Genomic DNA, 14,326 nt, shown 5'->3' on the forward strand with positions numbered 1-14,326 from the left:
CACAATATCCATTCCAACCTCTTAGTGTGTCTTCCTGGATTGCAGAATCTTAAAAACTAGTAACTATGTTTCCCAGGATCCCTTCATTTGGGTTATAGCTAGGATTTAGATTCCATCTATCAGCTGCACTTGTGCAAGTGTGGAGGTCAGAACTGAGACCTGGGGAGTAAGGTAGGGCATAGGCATCATTTTGAGAACTGATCTTGCTGTGCTTCTAGATTCAGCCACTATAAATACTGGCTTCTCAACTCTGAAGGTAGCTCCAAATTCTACAGCTGCCTAATTTTGGCAGGCATAGCAGCATTCTTAGAAGATCCCTTCTTCAGTGAGACTCATTTGTGGAAGCTCAGACAAAAGTTTCTTTTTTAGTTTATTATTTTAAATGTTTAAAATATTTAATTCTCTGCCTAAAAGAAGGCATCCCTTCCTGCTTAAACTGGCAAGAGTGCATTACGTTCTGAGCAACACAGTGCCTTCGCTCAGTGTCGTATCATTACAGCATCAAAAGCCTCTTCAAAGGGGAGAAACTAGCAAAGCAGAAGACTAGAGAGACTGAGAAGAAGCAGCCAATGAGGTGAAAGGAAACCAAGAGTCTGATGCCATGGAAACCAGGGAAGAATATGTTTCTTCCAGAATATCATTTGGTGCTGAGTGGTCAGTCGAGAATTGCATGGTCAAATAAGAAAGATGCCAAGAAGATCCTTTGTGAGCTTGCAAATAACAGTCTCTATAAAGTAGTAAAAGCAAACACCACTGGGAGTGGTATGAAAGGGAACATGAGAGCTAAGGAAATGAATTCAGCAACCACAGGCAACTTTTTAAGATATTTTAAAGAATGTTAAAATGGGAAGGTAATGAGCAGAACAGGGGTTGCGTGATATTTGTTTGTGTGTATGTTCATTGTAAAGATAGGAACTACTATTGCACACTGATAGGCGAATTGTAAGCTACTCTCCAGAAAAGAGGAGAAGATGGATGATGTGAAACAGAGGAGATAGTTGAAGTCACAAGGTATCTAAGAATATAAATACTTTGGTTACTCTGGAAATTTCTTTTCTCCCAAGGAACTGCGAGGTAAAGCCATCAGCTGAAAATGAGTTGGGGTTGTGAGGTGTCAACATTTTGAGAGAGAAAAAGGAATGCAATGGTGGTTTTGCTAAGCAGGGATAACAACAAGCAAAAGAAGAACTATACATAATGCATCTAAATAAATCTTAGGTCATAAATTTACATTGATGTTGGTCTGTATGGTTTTGTGACTTTTTCCCCAGCAATGTGTATTTTGAGTACAGGCACAGAGTGAGCTTGAGAGTTGCATTTAACTAACATTCAAGCCTGATAAGTTAATACAGTACATAGAGAAGGGTTACAAGGAACTAATTGTAATTATGGAACATCAAATCTAAGTTTGGTAAAAAGTGACAAGAGGAAATGAGAGGAGTCACTGAAGGTGAGACAGTTGTAGGTTCACTTAATGATGCATTGATAAAGTTGAAGAGTGATTGGATATAATTAAGTAGGAGAATGGTTAGAGGAAGTGGTAGTTGAAGTTGAGGCTTAAGAATTAGAGAAGCTATCTGTGATGACATGGTCAAGGGTTTGACCATGGAAGCAGGTAACTGAAGTAGGGCAGAGAAAACATTTACCAAAGTGAGGAAGTTCAGGAACTGAGAGGTAACAATGTTGGTTAGATTATTCATTTGGATGTTGAAATTGCCAGGAATGGTGACAGGAGTAGCAGTAGAAGGAATACAGTGATCTAGGTGTGAAAATCATCAGTGAATGGGGCAGGATTAATTAGGGTCAGTTGATGATAGCCAGGCAGGGTATTAAGTGAGTTTCCTCCACCTTCTTGCCAAACCACTATGCAATCTCAGAAAGAACACTATTTAGCAGCTACCTGGTACAACAGCTATTAGAATTACATGAGATCATGTGCAATTTAAAATGCCTAAAAAAAGGTCTGGCACATTTAATGGTGATGCTGTTGTTATAGTCATATTAATGAATCAACTTGCACTAACAAAATGTCTAATATATGCCAATCATGGGAATAGATGCTATTCATTTTAATATATCCTTTATTTCTTTGACCTAGAGTCATAGATTATTAAATCTAGACAGGATGTCAAAAGTCATCTCATCCAAAGGTCCCCTAACAAGAGTCAAAGGTTAGTTAAATGCATAAAATTACCTGTGAAGCCCATTAAATATATAAATTCCAGGCCTCCACACATGATAATTCCAATCTTTATGCCTGCAGTGGGACTTGGAAACTTATATTTTTAATAAGCTCCCTAACAGATTTTGATTCACAGCCAAGTTTGGGAACCACTGCTCAGCATCTTTATTTTACAGATGAGAAAATTGAAGACCAAGATCGCACAGCTGGTAAGTAACAGAACCAGGACTTTTACCCACATTTTCTGCTTTTAAGCCCAGAAACTAGATCCTTACTGATAGTGGCATATTGATACCCTGGGAATGGGAAGCAGAATGAATGTTTACACCCTTCATTTGTTCTTCCTAGGTGGATACACTGACTATGGCAGCAATATAAACAGTGTAATTTTATGCCATCAATCAAATGAGCTTTATGATAAATGTGTAAGAAAGACGATATGCAATGTAAAAGGTGAAAATTACAATGAGATAAGCAGGTAGCTGATACAATAATCCAGACCCATAACTATGGTGATAAAAGTAACTTAAAGGGGTAGACATAGTTTTTTAAAATGCTTTTTGAAGGAAAAAAAGTCAAGACATTTTTCATGGTAATAATGTGAGTAACAGATTGACAAGGTCAATAAGTGAAAATGGAGTACAAGTAATAGGCAAGCACACTAACCTGTCCTACTTTGGTGAGATGATTCCAAAACCTGTCTACACACTGGAATCATGCTCTGGAGATCCTTAATGAGTAGGATCTATGCATTTGATATAGAGAGATGTATAAATAGGAATCTCGGGAAATTCCTACCTTGTACAAGCTCTTGAAACAACCAAGTGTGAGCACAGTAGTTTATGCTCAAGATTCTGCAACCGTACCATCTGTGGACCACCCCTAGCCATGTAACAGGATTAGGAAGATAAAAATGAATTCCAATGGGTTGCCATTAGCAGTAATGGTAGCTGCTTTACCAACTCTAGCCAGCTTGGCAAGTGGCTTCAAATAAAATAGTGTGAGAGCAGTCACCATGTCACTGGACTTTGAAGTCAGGGACTGGATACAACCTAGAATATGTCACCCAGCCCACATAGGAGGGTGCACTTCTCCGTGAAGCATTTATAACAGGGAAGACAGTGGTATCACACATAAAGACGTTCTCTCTTCCATTCTTACTGAATATGCAACAGCAGCAAGGTACCATTGTCTAGCAAACACTCCTAATGCTGACAGCTCAGTATGTTACCAAAGCTCACTGTAAATATTATTTTCCTGCTCTACTAGACAACGAAAATTATTGTAACTGGGAGAAACAGGTACAGAGAAGAATAATGACCCTCTGCACACTCTTATTTTTTAATTTACAAGTACAGAAACTTTAGGCAGAGATGCTGCTGTCTAGGGTACCTCTAGGACATTATACAATTGAGATGGAACACTTTGGCCTTCTCTGGAGACAAATGATGGACTCCTCCAAATGTTGTTCACAACCCCAGAGGCTTTATTTCAGTATAAGTGAGGAATATGCCTCTAGAAACAATGTGTGAGGTAAATCTTCCTTAAGAATAAAAGATGCTAAGACTGGGAAATGGGAAGACTTAAATAGCTGCAACATTTACATGTGCCCAATTATCTTTAATAATTACAACATCTAAAGCCTGAGAAACTGACATGCCATTGTTCTAATCAGTGCCCAGCCCTCCGCCACACAAAGGCTTTCATTCAACGTTTCAGCTCTGAAGTCTCTCGATGGAGCTGCTGTTGTCTGAACCCTCACAGACCATAGAAGACAGGCCGTTTTTGAGAAGCTGAGTTAGGGGCTACCCAGTTCTCAGTTTCACACTTGTTTGGCCTGATTCTTGGGGTTTTTGCTTTGCTAAGATCAAAATTTTCAAGGTAATGAGGAACTCACGAGCTGCTATGGGATCAGAATAGAAATGTTTCTGACATTTCTAATAGGTTGACTAGATATTTAAAATTCTACCAAATAACAGAATGAGGAAGCTTTTTATTGCACTAATTAATATGAAGATAGATTAAAAAGGATATATTTTAAAAAGGAACAATATTCTCTATTTCAGTTGGATTTTTACATATATTACTACCTGCATGAAATTTTGAAATACAGAATTCTAGGAAGTAAATTTGGAGAGTCATTCATGAACTAATTTCCCACCTAATTCCTACTTATAACCTAACATCTTAATAAAATTATGTTCAAAATTAAGGCCATTGGTCATGTTATTAAAAATGATTACTGTTACTGGTTTTCACATCTTGATAAATAATTCTTGAGCTATGTTTTTAACTTAGTCATGTTGCTACTAAAAGATATACTTAAACTAAAATGAGAAAAGGAATAAAATAAATAATTAGCACTTGCAAAATACAAGATTTGAAAAATAGGCCATATTAAAATTTTTTCAACTCCCTTCATCTTTTTATCTTCTTTAAACAACTTTAATGCAATTACTTTACCTTTCAAAAGGCAAAATGGAAAAACAAGATGGTTGAATAAAAGTTTCCCCTAATTGTCTCCCCCCTCCACAAGAATATCAATTTAACAACTATCTACAAAAAGAAAAAACAACAACAACATACAACAACATATACAAACAAAAAAAACCCCACCTTTATAAGAAGAAAAATCAGGTGAGCACTCACAGTACCTGGTTTTAACTTCATACAGTTGAAAGAGGCACTGAAGAGGTAGGAAAAACAGTCTTGAATGACCAACATCACCCCTTCCTCCATCCTCTGGCAGCGGCCAGCGGCCATGTGGTGCAGAGAGCATTTTTTTTTCCACTGGGGAGAAGAAGAGCGCAGCAATTGTGAAGCATTGAACTCAGTTTTGTCCTGTAATAGCAGAAAGGAAAATTGGGCCAAACTCAGCTGATTCCCATTCACAGAGGGAGCATTTAAACCAGCCCTAGCTAGAGGGGAATCATTGACTCCAGCTGTGGGAACTTGAGTTCCTGCAAACCTCGCCAGTGTAGGCTAAAGTGCTCTGGGGCTCCAAATATACTTGAAAGGCAGTCTAGGCCATAAGGACTACAACTTTTAGGTGAGTCTTAGTGCTGAACTGGGCCCAGAGCCAGTAGACTAAAAGGGCATGTGACCTTTTGAGACACTAACTGGGGCAGCTAAAGGGATGCTGGCATCACCTCTCCCCAACACCAGGCTGAACAGCTTATGGCTTCAAAAGAGGCCACTTCCCTCTGCTTGAAGAAAGGAAAGAAGAGGAAAGACTGGGGAGGACTTTGTCTTGCATCTTGGATACCAGCTCAGCCCCAGCAGGACAGAACACCAATCAGAGTCATGAGGCCCCCCTTTCTAGGCCCTAGCTCCCAGGTGACATTTTTAGATACACACTGGGCCAGAAGGGAACCTGCTGCCTTAAGAAAAGAACCCAGTCCTGGCAAGATTCATCATCTGCTGACTGAAGAGCCTTTGGATCCTGAATAATCAGCAGTGATACTCAGTTACCATGTCATGGGCCTTGGGCGAGACTCTGAGACTTGTTAGCTTCAGGTGAGATGCAGCACATTCCCAGTTGTGGTGACTAAGGGGGCAAGACTCCTTCCATTTAAGAAAAGTAGAAGGAAAAGCAAAGGGGAATTTGTCTTGCACCTTAGTTACCAGCTTGGCCACAGGGGGTAATGCACCAAGTGAGCTCTTGGGGTCTCCAATGCCACGAGTTGGCACTTGGACAGCATTTCTGGACCTGCCCTGGGCCAGGGAGGAGCCCACTGTCCTGAAGGGTGAGTCCCAGGCCAGGCAGCATTCATCACAAGCTGACTGAAGAGACCTTGAGCCTTATGAAAACATTGGGGATAGTCTGGCACTCCTCCCCTTGGGCCTATGGTGGTGGTGGCCATGGGATGAGGCTCCTCTGCCTTTGGAAAGGAGAGGGAAGAGTGGGAAGAGCTGCATCTTGTGGTTTGGGAGCCAGCTCAGCCACAGTATAATGGAACACCAAGTAGACTTCTAAGGTTTTTGACCCTAGTCCCTGGCTCCCAGATGGCACATCTGGACACACCTGAAGCCTGGAGGAACTTGCCACCCTGAAGGGAAGAACACAAGTGAAGAACACAAACCTGGCTGGCCTTGCCACCTGCTGACTATAGATCCTCAGGGCCTTGAACAAACATAGGCCATAGCCAGGGAGTGTATACAGCAGGCCTTGGGAAAGACCCAGTGCTGTTCTGGCTTTAGGTCTGACCCATCACAATCCTAGTGGTGGTGGCCACAGGGGTGCTTGTGTCACACCACCCCCAGCTCAAGGTAGCTCAGAACAGACAATAGAGACTTCATTCATTTGAGAAAAATATGTGAAGAGAACAAGTCTCTGACCGATAATTCAGTGATTCTTCTGGATCTTGTCCAAGACCATCAAGGCAGTACATTTATGAGTCTGCAAGAACCACAGAGTTACTGGGCTTAGGGTGCCCCCTAAGGGGGCACAATACTCAAGTCTTTTTGAATATCTGGAAAGCCTTCCCAAGAAGGATGGGCACAGATAAGCCAAGGCTGAGAAGACTACAATAAATACCTAACTCTTCAATGCCCAGACACTGAAGAATATCTACAAGCATTAACAACATCCAGGAAACATGACCTAACCAAATGAACTAGATAAGCCACCAGGGACCAATGCTGGAGAAACAGAGATATGTGACCTTTCAGATAGAGAATTCAAAATAGCTGTGTTGAGGAAACTCAAAGAAATTTAAAAGAACACAGAGAAGGAATTGTGGTGGCTTACACCTGTAACCCCAGAACTTTGGAAGGCTGAGGTGGGTGGATCACTTGAAGTCAGGTGTTCAAGACCAGCCTGACTGACATGGCAAAACCGCATCTCTGCTAAAAACGCACAAAAAAAAATAGCCAGGCATGGTGGTCAGTGCCTGTAATCACAGCTACTTGGGAGGCTGAGGCAGGAGAATCACTTGAACCCAGGAGGCAGAGGTTGCAGAGAGCCGAGATTATGCCACTGCACTTCAGCCTGGGTGACAGAGTGATACCCCATCTCAAAAAAAAAAAAAAAAAAAAGAAATTCATAAAGTTAACAAAGAGATTGAAATAATTAGAAAGAATCAAGCAGAAATTCTGGAGTTGAAAAATGCAGTTGGCATACTGAAGAATGCATCAGAGTATTTTAATAGCAGAATTGATCAAGAAGAAAGAATCAGTGAGCTAGAAGGCAGGTTAATTGAAAATACATGGTAAGAGGAGAAAAAAGAATACAAAAAACAATAAAGCATGCCTACAGGATCTGGAAAATAGCCTCAAAAGGGCAAATCTAGGTTACTGGCCTTAAAGAAGAAGTAGAGAAAAGATAGGGGTAAGAAGTTTACTCAAAGGGTTTATAACAGAGAACTTCCCAAATCATAGAGAAAGATATCAATATTCAAGTACAAGAAGGTTGCAGAACACCACACAGATTCAACCCAAAAAAGACTACCTCAGGGAATTTAAAAATCAAACTCAAAACATCAGAGATAAAGAAATAATCCTAAAAGCAGCAAGAGAAAATAAACAAGTAACATACAATGGAGCGCCAACCTGTCTGGCACAGACTTCTCAGTGGAAACTTTACAAGCCAAGAGAGACCAGCATGACACATTTAAGGTACTGAAGGAAAAATAATTTACCCTGGAATAGTATATCTGGTGAAAAAAACCCTTCAAACATGAAGGAGAAATACTTTCCCAGACAAACAAAAGCTGAGGAATTTCATCAACACCAGACCTGTCCTACAAGAAAGGCTAAAGGGAATTCCTTCAATTAGAAAAAAAAAAGAAATCTTCTGAAGGTATGAAACTCACTGGTAACAGTAAGTACACAGAAAACCAGAATATTATAACACTGTAACTGTGGTGTGTAAACTACTCTTAAGTAGAAAGACTAAATGATGAACCAATCAGAAATAACAACTACAATGACTTTTCAAGACATAGTACAATAAGATATAAATAGAAACAACAAAAAGTTAAAAAATGGGGGGATGAAGTTAAGGCATAGATTAGTGTATTCATTTTCTTTTTGCTTGTTTGTTTATGCAAACAGTGCTGAGTTGTTATCAGCTTAAAATAATGGGTTATAAGATAGTTTTAGCAAGCCTCATGGTAATTTTAAACCAAAAAACATACAATGGATACACACACACAAAAAAAGGAAGAAACTAAGTCATATCACCAAAGAAAATCATCTTCACTAAGAGGAAGACAGGAAGAAAAGAAAGAAGGAGGAAAGACAACAAAACAACCAGAAAACAAATAACAAAATGGCAGGATTAAGTTCTTACTTACCAATAATAACATTGAATGTAAATGAACTAAACTCTTTAATCAAAAGGCATAGAGTGGCTTCACTGATTTTAAAAAAAAAACAATGATCTATTGCCTATAAAAAAGAAACACACTTCACCTATAAAGAAACACATAGACTGAATATAAACGGATAGAAAAAGATATTGCATACCAATGGAAACCACAAAAGGGCAAGAGTAGCTATACTTATACCAGAAAAAAGTAGATTTCAAGACAAAAACTATAAGAAGAGACAAAGAAGGTCATTATATAATGATAAAGGGGCTAATTCAGCAAGAGGATATAACAATTTTAAATATATATGCACCCAACACTGGAGCATCTAGATATATAAAGCAAATATTATTATAGCTAAGGAAAGACATAGGCCTCAATCAATAATAGCTGGAGAGACTTCAACACCCTTACTTTCAGCATTGGACAGATCTTCCAGACAGAAAATCAACAAAGAAACATCAGACTACACTTAATCTGTAGTATAGCCCAATGGACCTAATAGATATTTACAGAATGTTTTATTCAACAGCTGCAGAATTCACATTCTTTTCTTCAGTACATGAATTATTCTCAAAGATAGACCATATGTTAGCTCACAAAACAAATCTTAAACATTCAAAAAAATTAAAATAATATTAAGCATCTTCTCTGCCCACAATGAAGTAAAACTAGAAATCAATAACGAGATATTTGAAACTATATGAATACATGGAAATTAACAATATACTTCTGAATGACCAGTGGGCCAATGAAGGAATTAAGAAGGAAATTGAAAATGTTTTTTGAAACCAATGATAATGGAAGCACCACATACCAATTCCTATGGGACACAGCAAAAGCAGTAATAAAAGGAAAGTTTATAGCTATATGTGTTTACATCAAAAAAGAAGAAATGCTTCAAATAAAAAACCCTAATGATTCATCGTAAAGAATTTGAAAAGCAAGAGCAGACTAAAATCAAAATTAATAGAAGAAAAGAAATAATAAAGATCAGAGCAGAAATAAATGAAATTGAAATGAAGAAAACAATACAAAATATCAAGAAAACAAAAGCTTGGTTTTTTAAAAAGTTAAACGAAATTGACAAATCTTTAGCCAGATTAAGAAAAAAAAAGAAGATACAAATAAAATCAGAGATGAAAAAAGAGACATTATAACTGATACTGCAAAAATTCAAAGGATTATTAGTTGCTAGTATGAGCAACTAAACGACAATAAATTGGAAAATATAGAAAAAGCAGACAAATTCCTAGACACATACAACCTAGCAAGACTGAACCAGGAAGAAGTCCCAAACATGAACAGACCAATAACAAGTAACAAGATCGAGCCATAATAAAAAGTATCTCAGTGAGGAAAAGCCCAGAATCCAATGGCTTCACTCCTGAATTCTACCAAATATTTAAAGAACTAATACCAATCCTACTCAAACATTTCCAAAAAATAGAAGAGAAGGGAATACTTCCAAACTCACTCTATGAGGCTAGTATTACCCTGATACCAAAACCAAAGACACATTAAAAACAAAAAAAAGAAAACTACAGGCCAATATCTCTGATAAATATTGATGCAAAAATCCTCAACAGAATAACAGCAAAGAGAAGTCAACTCTACATTAAAAATATTATTTATTATAACCAAGTGGGATTTATTCCTGGTTAGCAAGGATGGTTCAACATATGGAAATCAATCAATGTGATACATCATATCAACAGAATGAAGGAAAAAAAACCACATGATCATTTCAATTGATTCTGCAAAAGTATTTGATAAAATTCAACATCCCTTCATGATAAAAACCCTCAAAAACTGAGTATACAAGGAATATACCTCAACATAATAAACCCCAGACATGACAGACCCAAGCTAGTATCATACTGAATGAGGAAAAACTGAAAGCCTTTCCTCTAAGATCTGGAACACAATAAGGATGCCCAGTTTTTCCATTGTTATTCAACATATTATTGGAAGTCCAAGCTAGAGCAATCAGATGAGAAAGAAATAAAGGGCATCCAAATTGAAAAAGAGGTCCAATTATCCATGTCTACAGATGATACAATCTTATATTTGAAAAAAAACCTAAAGGCTCCACCACAAAACTATTAGAGCTGATAAACAAATTCAGTAAATTTGCAAAACACAAGATCAAAACACAAAAATCAGTAGCATTTCTATATGCCAACAGTGAACAATCTGAAAAAGAAATCAAAATGTAACCCATTTACAAGAGCCACAAATAAAATTAAATACCTAGGAATTAAGCAAAGAAGTAAAGGATCTCTATAAAGAAAACTATGAAACATTGATGAAAGATATTGAAGAGGACACCAAAAAATGGAAAGATATTTTATGTTCATGGATTGAAAGAATCATATTGTTAAAATGTCCATACTACCCAAAGCAATCTATAGATTAATTGCAATCCCTACCAGAATACCAATAATATTCTTCACAGAAATAGAAAAGACAATCCTACAATTTACATGGAACAATGAAAGACCCAGAATAGCCAAAGCTATGCTAAGCAAAAGAACGAAACTGAAAAAATAACATTACCTGACTTCAAATTATATTGCAGAGCTATAGTAACCAAAATAGCAGGGTACTGGCATAAAAACAAACACATAGACCAAAGGAACAGAGTAGAAAACCCAGAAACAAATCTACACACGTACAGCAAATTCATTTTTGACAAAGGTACCAAGAACATACCGTGGGGAAAAGACAGTATCTTCAAGAAACGGTCCTGGGAAAACTGGATATCCATATGCAAATGAATGAAACTAGACTCTGATCTCTTACCATATATAAAAATCAAATCAAAATGGATTAAAGGCTTAAACTAAGACCTCAAACTGTGAGACTACTATAAGAAAACATTGAGGAAACTCTCTAGGACATTGGTCTGGCAAAAATATTTTAAGTAATATCCCACAAGCACAGTCAACCAAAGCAAACATGGACAAATGGAATCACATCAAGTTAAAAATCTCCTTTACAGCAAATGAAACAATCAACAATTTGAAAAGACAGCCCACAGAATAGGAGAAAATATTTGCAAAGTACTCATGTGACAAGGGATTAATAACCAGAATATATAAGGAGCTCAAACAACTCTACAGGAAAAAGTCTAATAGTCTGATTTTAAAATGGGCAAAAGATTTGAATAGACATTTCTCAAAAGAAGACACACAAATGGCCAACAGGCATATGAAAAGTTGCTCGACATCACTGATCATCAGAGAAATCCAAATCAAAATTAAAATGAGATATCTCACCCCGGTCAAAATGCCTTGTATTAAAAAGACAGGCAATAACGAATGCTGGCAAGGATATGGAGGAAAGGGAACCCTCATATACTGTTGGTGGGAATGTAAATTAGTACAACCACTAAGGAGAACAGAAAGGGAAGGAAAGAAAAGAAAGGAAATCAGTATATCAAACAGATAATCGCATATCCATGTTTGTTGCAGCACTGTTCACAATAGCCAAAATTTGGAAGCAAACTAATTGTTGACCAACAGATGACTGGATAAACAAAATGTGGTACATAGATACAATGGAGTACTATTTGGCTATAAAAAGGAATGAGTTCCAGACATTTGCAACAACATGGGCGGAACTGGAGGTCATTATATTAAGTAAAATAAGCCAGGCACAGAAAGACTAATATCACATGTTCTCATTTATTTGTGGTATCTAAAAATTCAAACAACTGAACTCGTGGACATAGAGAGTACAAGGATCGTCACCCAGAGGCTGAGAATGGTAGTGGGAGGGTGAAGGGAAGGTGTGGATGGTTAATAGGTCCCAAAAAAAAAAAAAAAAAAAAAATAGAAAGAATGAATAAGACCTAGTATTTCATAGCACAACAGGGTGACTATAGTCAATAAAAATTTAAATGTACATTTTAAGATAACCAAAACAGTATATTTGGATTATTTGTAACACAAAGGATAAATGCTTGAGGGGATAGATACCCCATTTTACATGACGTGATTGTTACGCATGCATTGCATGCCTGTATCAAAACATCTCATGTCTCCAATTTATATATGCACCTACCATGTACCCACAAAAATTAAAATAAATTTTTTTTTCAAAACCAGATATATATCTTAAAAAAGGTAAACTGGCTTATTTTCCCTGCCTTTCATAAATTTTACTGATAGCTTCAGGCTGTATTCCCTCAAAGTGTGACCTAGGAAATCCTGCATGAGATTTACCTGGGAAACTGGTGAAAACTGTAAATTTCCAGGCCAATTTTAGGTACTGGAACCCAGGCATCAGCATATTAGAAGTTACCTCAGATGATTAATGGTGATACTGAAGGTTGAGAATGTCTAGGCTTTATTTTTTAAAATAGACTCTATTGTATATATTTAAGGTATACAACATGATGTTTTGGTATACTGATCGATAGTAAAATTGGCTTTTTGAAAATAAACCACATCTCATTGGAGTTGCAGAGTTCCAAAGAAGACTCAGATCCACAATTGTTTAGTAAACAAAGAAAAAGAACTGTGCAAAACTTACCAGTCCACAGGATTTTTCTCAATTTTATTCAACGTAAGCAACATTTTCTTAGCATTTTGTGAGTCACTAAATAAAAATAAACCAGACTCAATGTCCTTGACCTCATAGTGAAGGAGATTGAAAGCTCTATTTTAGAAGGAGGAGCCAAGATGGCCGAATAGGAACAGCTCTGGTCTACAGCTCCCAGCGTGAGCCACGCAGAAGATGGGTGATTTCTGCATTTCCATCTGAGGTACCAGTTTCATCTCACTAGGCAGTGCCAGACAGTGGGTGCAGGTCAGTGGGTGCGCGCACCGTGCGCGAGCCGAAGCAGGGCGAGGCATTGCCTCACTCGGGAAGCGCGAGGGGTCAGGGAGTTCCCTTTCCTAGTTAAAGAAAGGGGTGACTGACAGCACCTGGAAAATCGGGTCACTCCCACCCGAACACTGCGCTTTTCCGACAGGCTTAAAAAACGGCCCACCACAAGATTATATCCTGCACCTGGCTCTGAGGGTCCTACGACCACGGAGTCTCACTGATTGCTAGCACAGCAGTCTGAGATCAAACTGCAAGGCGGCAGCCAGGCTGGGGGAGGGGCTCCCGCCATTGCCTAGCCTTGCTTAGGTAAACAAAGCAGCTGGGAAGCTTGAACTGGGTGGAGCCCACCACAGCTCAAGGAGGCCTGCCTGCCTCTGTAGGCTCCACCTCTGGGGGCAGGGCACAGACAAACAAAAAGACAGCAGTAACCTCTGCAGACTTAAATATCCCTTTCTGACAGCTTTGAAGAGAGCAGTGGTTCTCCCAGCACGCAGCTGGAGATCTGAGAACGGGCAGACTGCCTCCTCAAGTGGGTCCCTGACCCCTGACCCCCGAGCAGCCCAACTGGGAGGCACCCCCCAGCAGGGGCACACTGACACATCACACGGCGGGGTACTCCAACAGACCTGCAGCTGAGGGTCTGGTCTGTTAGAAGGAAAACTAACAAACAGAAAGGACATCCACACCAAAAACCCATCTGTACATCACCATCATCAAAGACCAAAAGTAAATAAAACCACAAAGATGGGGAAAAAACAGAACAGAAAAACTGGAATCTCTAAAAAGCAGAGTGCCTCTTCTCCTCCAAAGGAACGCAGTTCTTCACCAGCAATGGAACAAAGCTGGACAGAGAATGACTTTGACGAGCTGAGAGAAGAAGGCTTCAGACGATCAAATTACTCTGAGCTACGGGAGGACGTCCAAACCAAAGGCAAAGAAGTTGAAAACTTTGAAAAAAATTTAGAAGAATGTATAACTAGAATAACCAATACAGAGA

The 14,326-nt window shown here is 38.6% G+C and overlaps 1 long non-coding RNA gene across 2 annotated transcripts in view, besides 1 other annotated feature; it reads right to left on the reverse strand.

The window, feature by feature from the left end:
• Positions 1–4,914: 4,914 nt before the first annotated feature.
• Positions 4,915–14,326, reverse strand: part of LOC107985126 (uncharacterized) — a 93,388-nt gene continuing 83,976 nt past the window's right edge. For both annotated transcript variants that reach the window (XR_001753535.1, XR_001753533.1), the window contains one exon: positions 4,915–5,023. This is a non-coding gene — a long non-coding RNA (uncharacterized LOC107985126). The remainder of the gene's footprint in view (positions 5,024–14,326) is intronic.
• Positions 13,450–14,077: an enhancer, noted in NCBI's record as "H3K27ac-H3K4me1 hESC enhancer chr18:25090256-25090883 (GRCh37/hg19 assembly coordinates)". NCBI's record gives its function as "activates a minimal SCP1, AML or CMV promoter by ChIP-STARR-seq in naive H9 embryonic stem cells {active_cell/tissue: H9 hESC(naive)}" and the evidence as "EXISTENCE:reporter gene assay evidence [ECO:0000049][PMID:30033119]".

This window comes from Homo sapiens, chromosome 18 (genome assembly GCF_000001405.40).
Source record: "Homo sapiens chromosome 18, GRCh38.p14 Primary Assembly".
NCBI classification, from domain to species: Eukaryota; Metazoa; Chordata; class Mammalia; order Primates; family Hominidae; genus Homo; species Homo sapiens.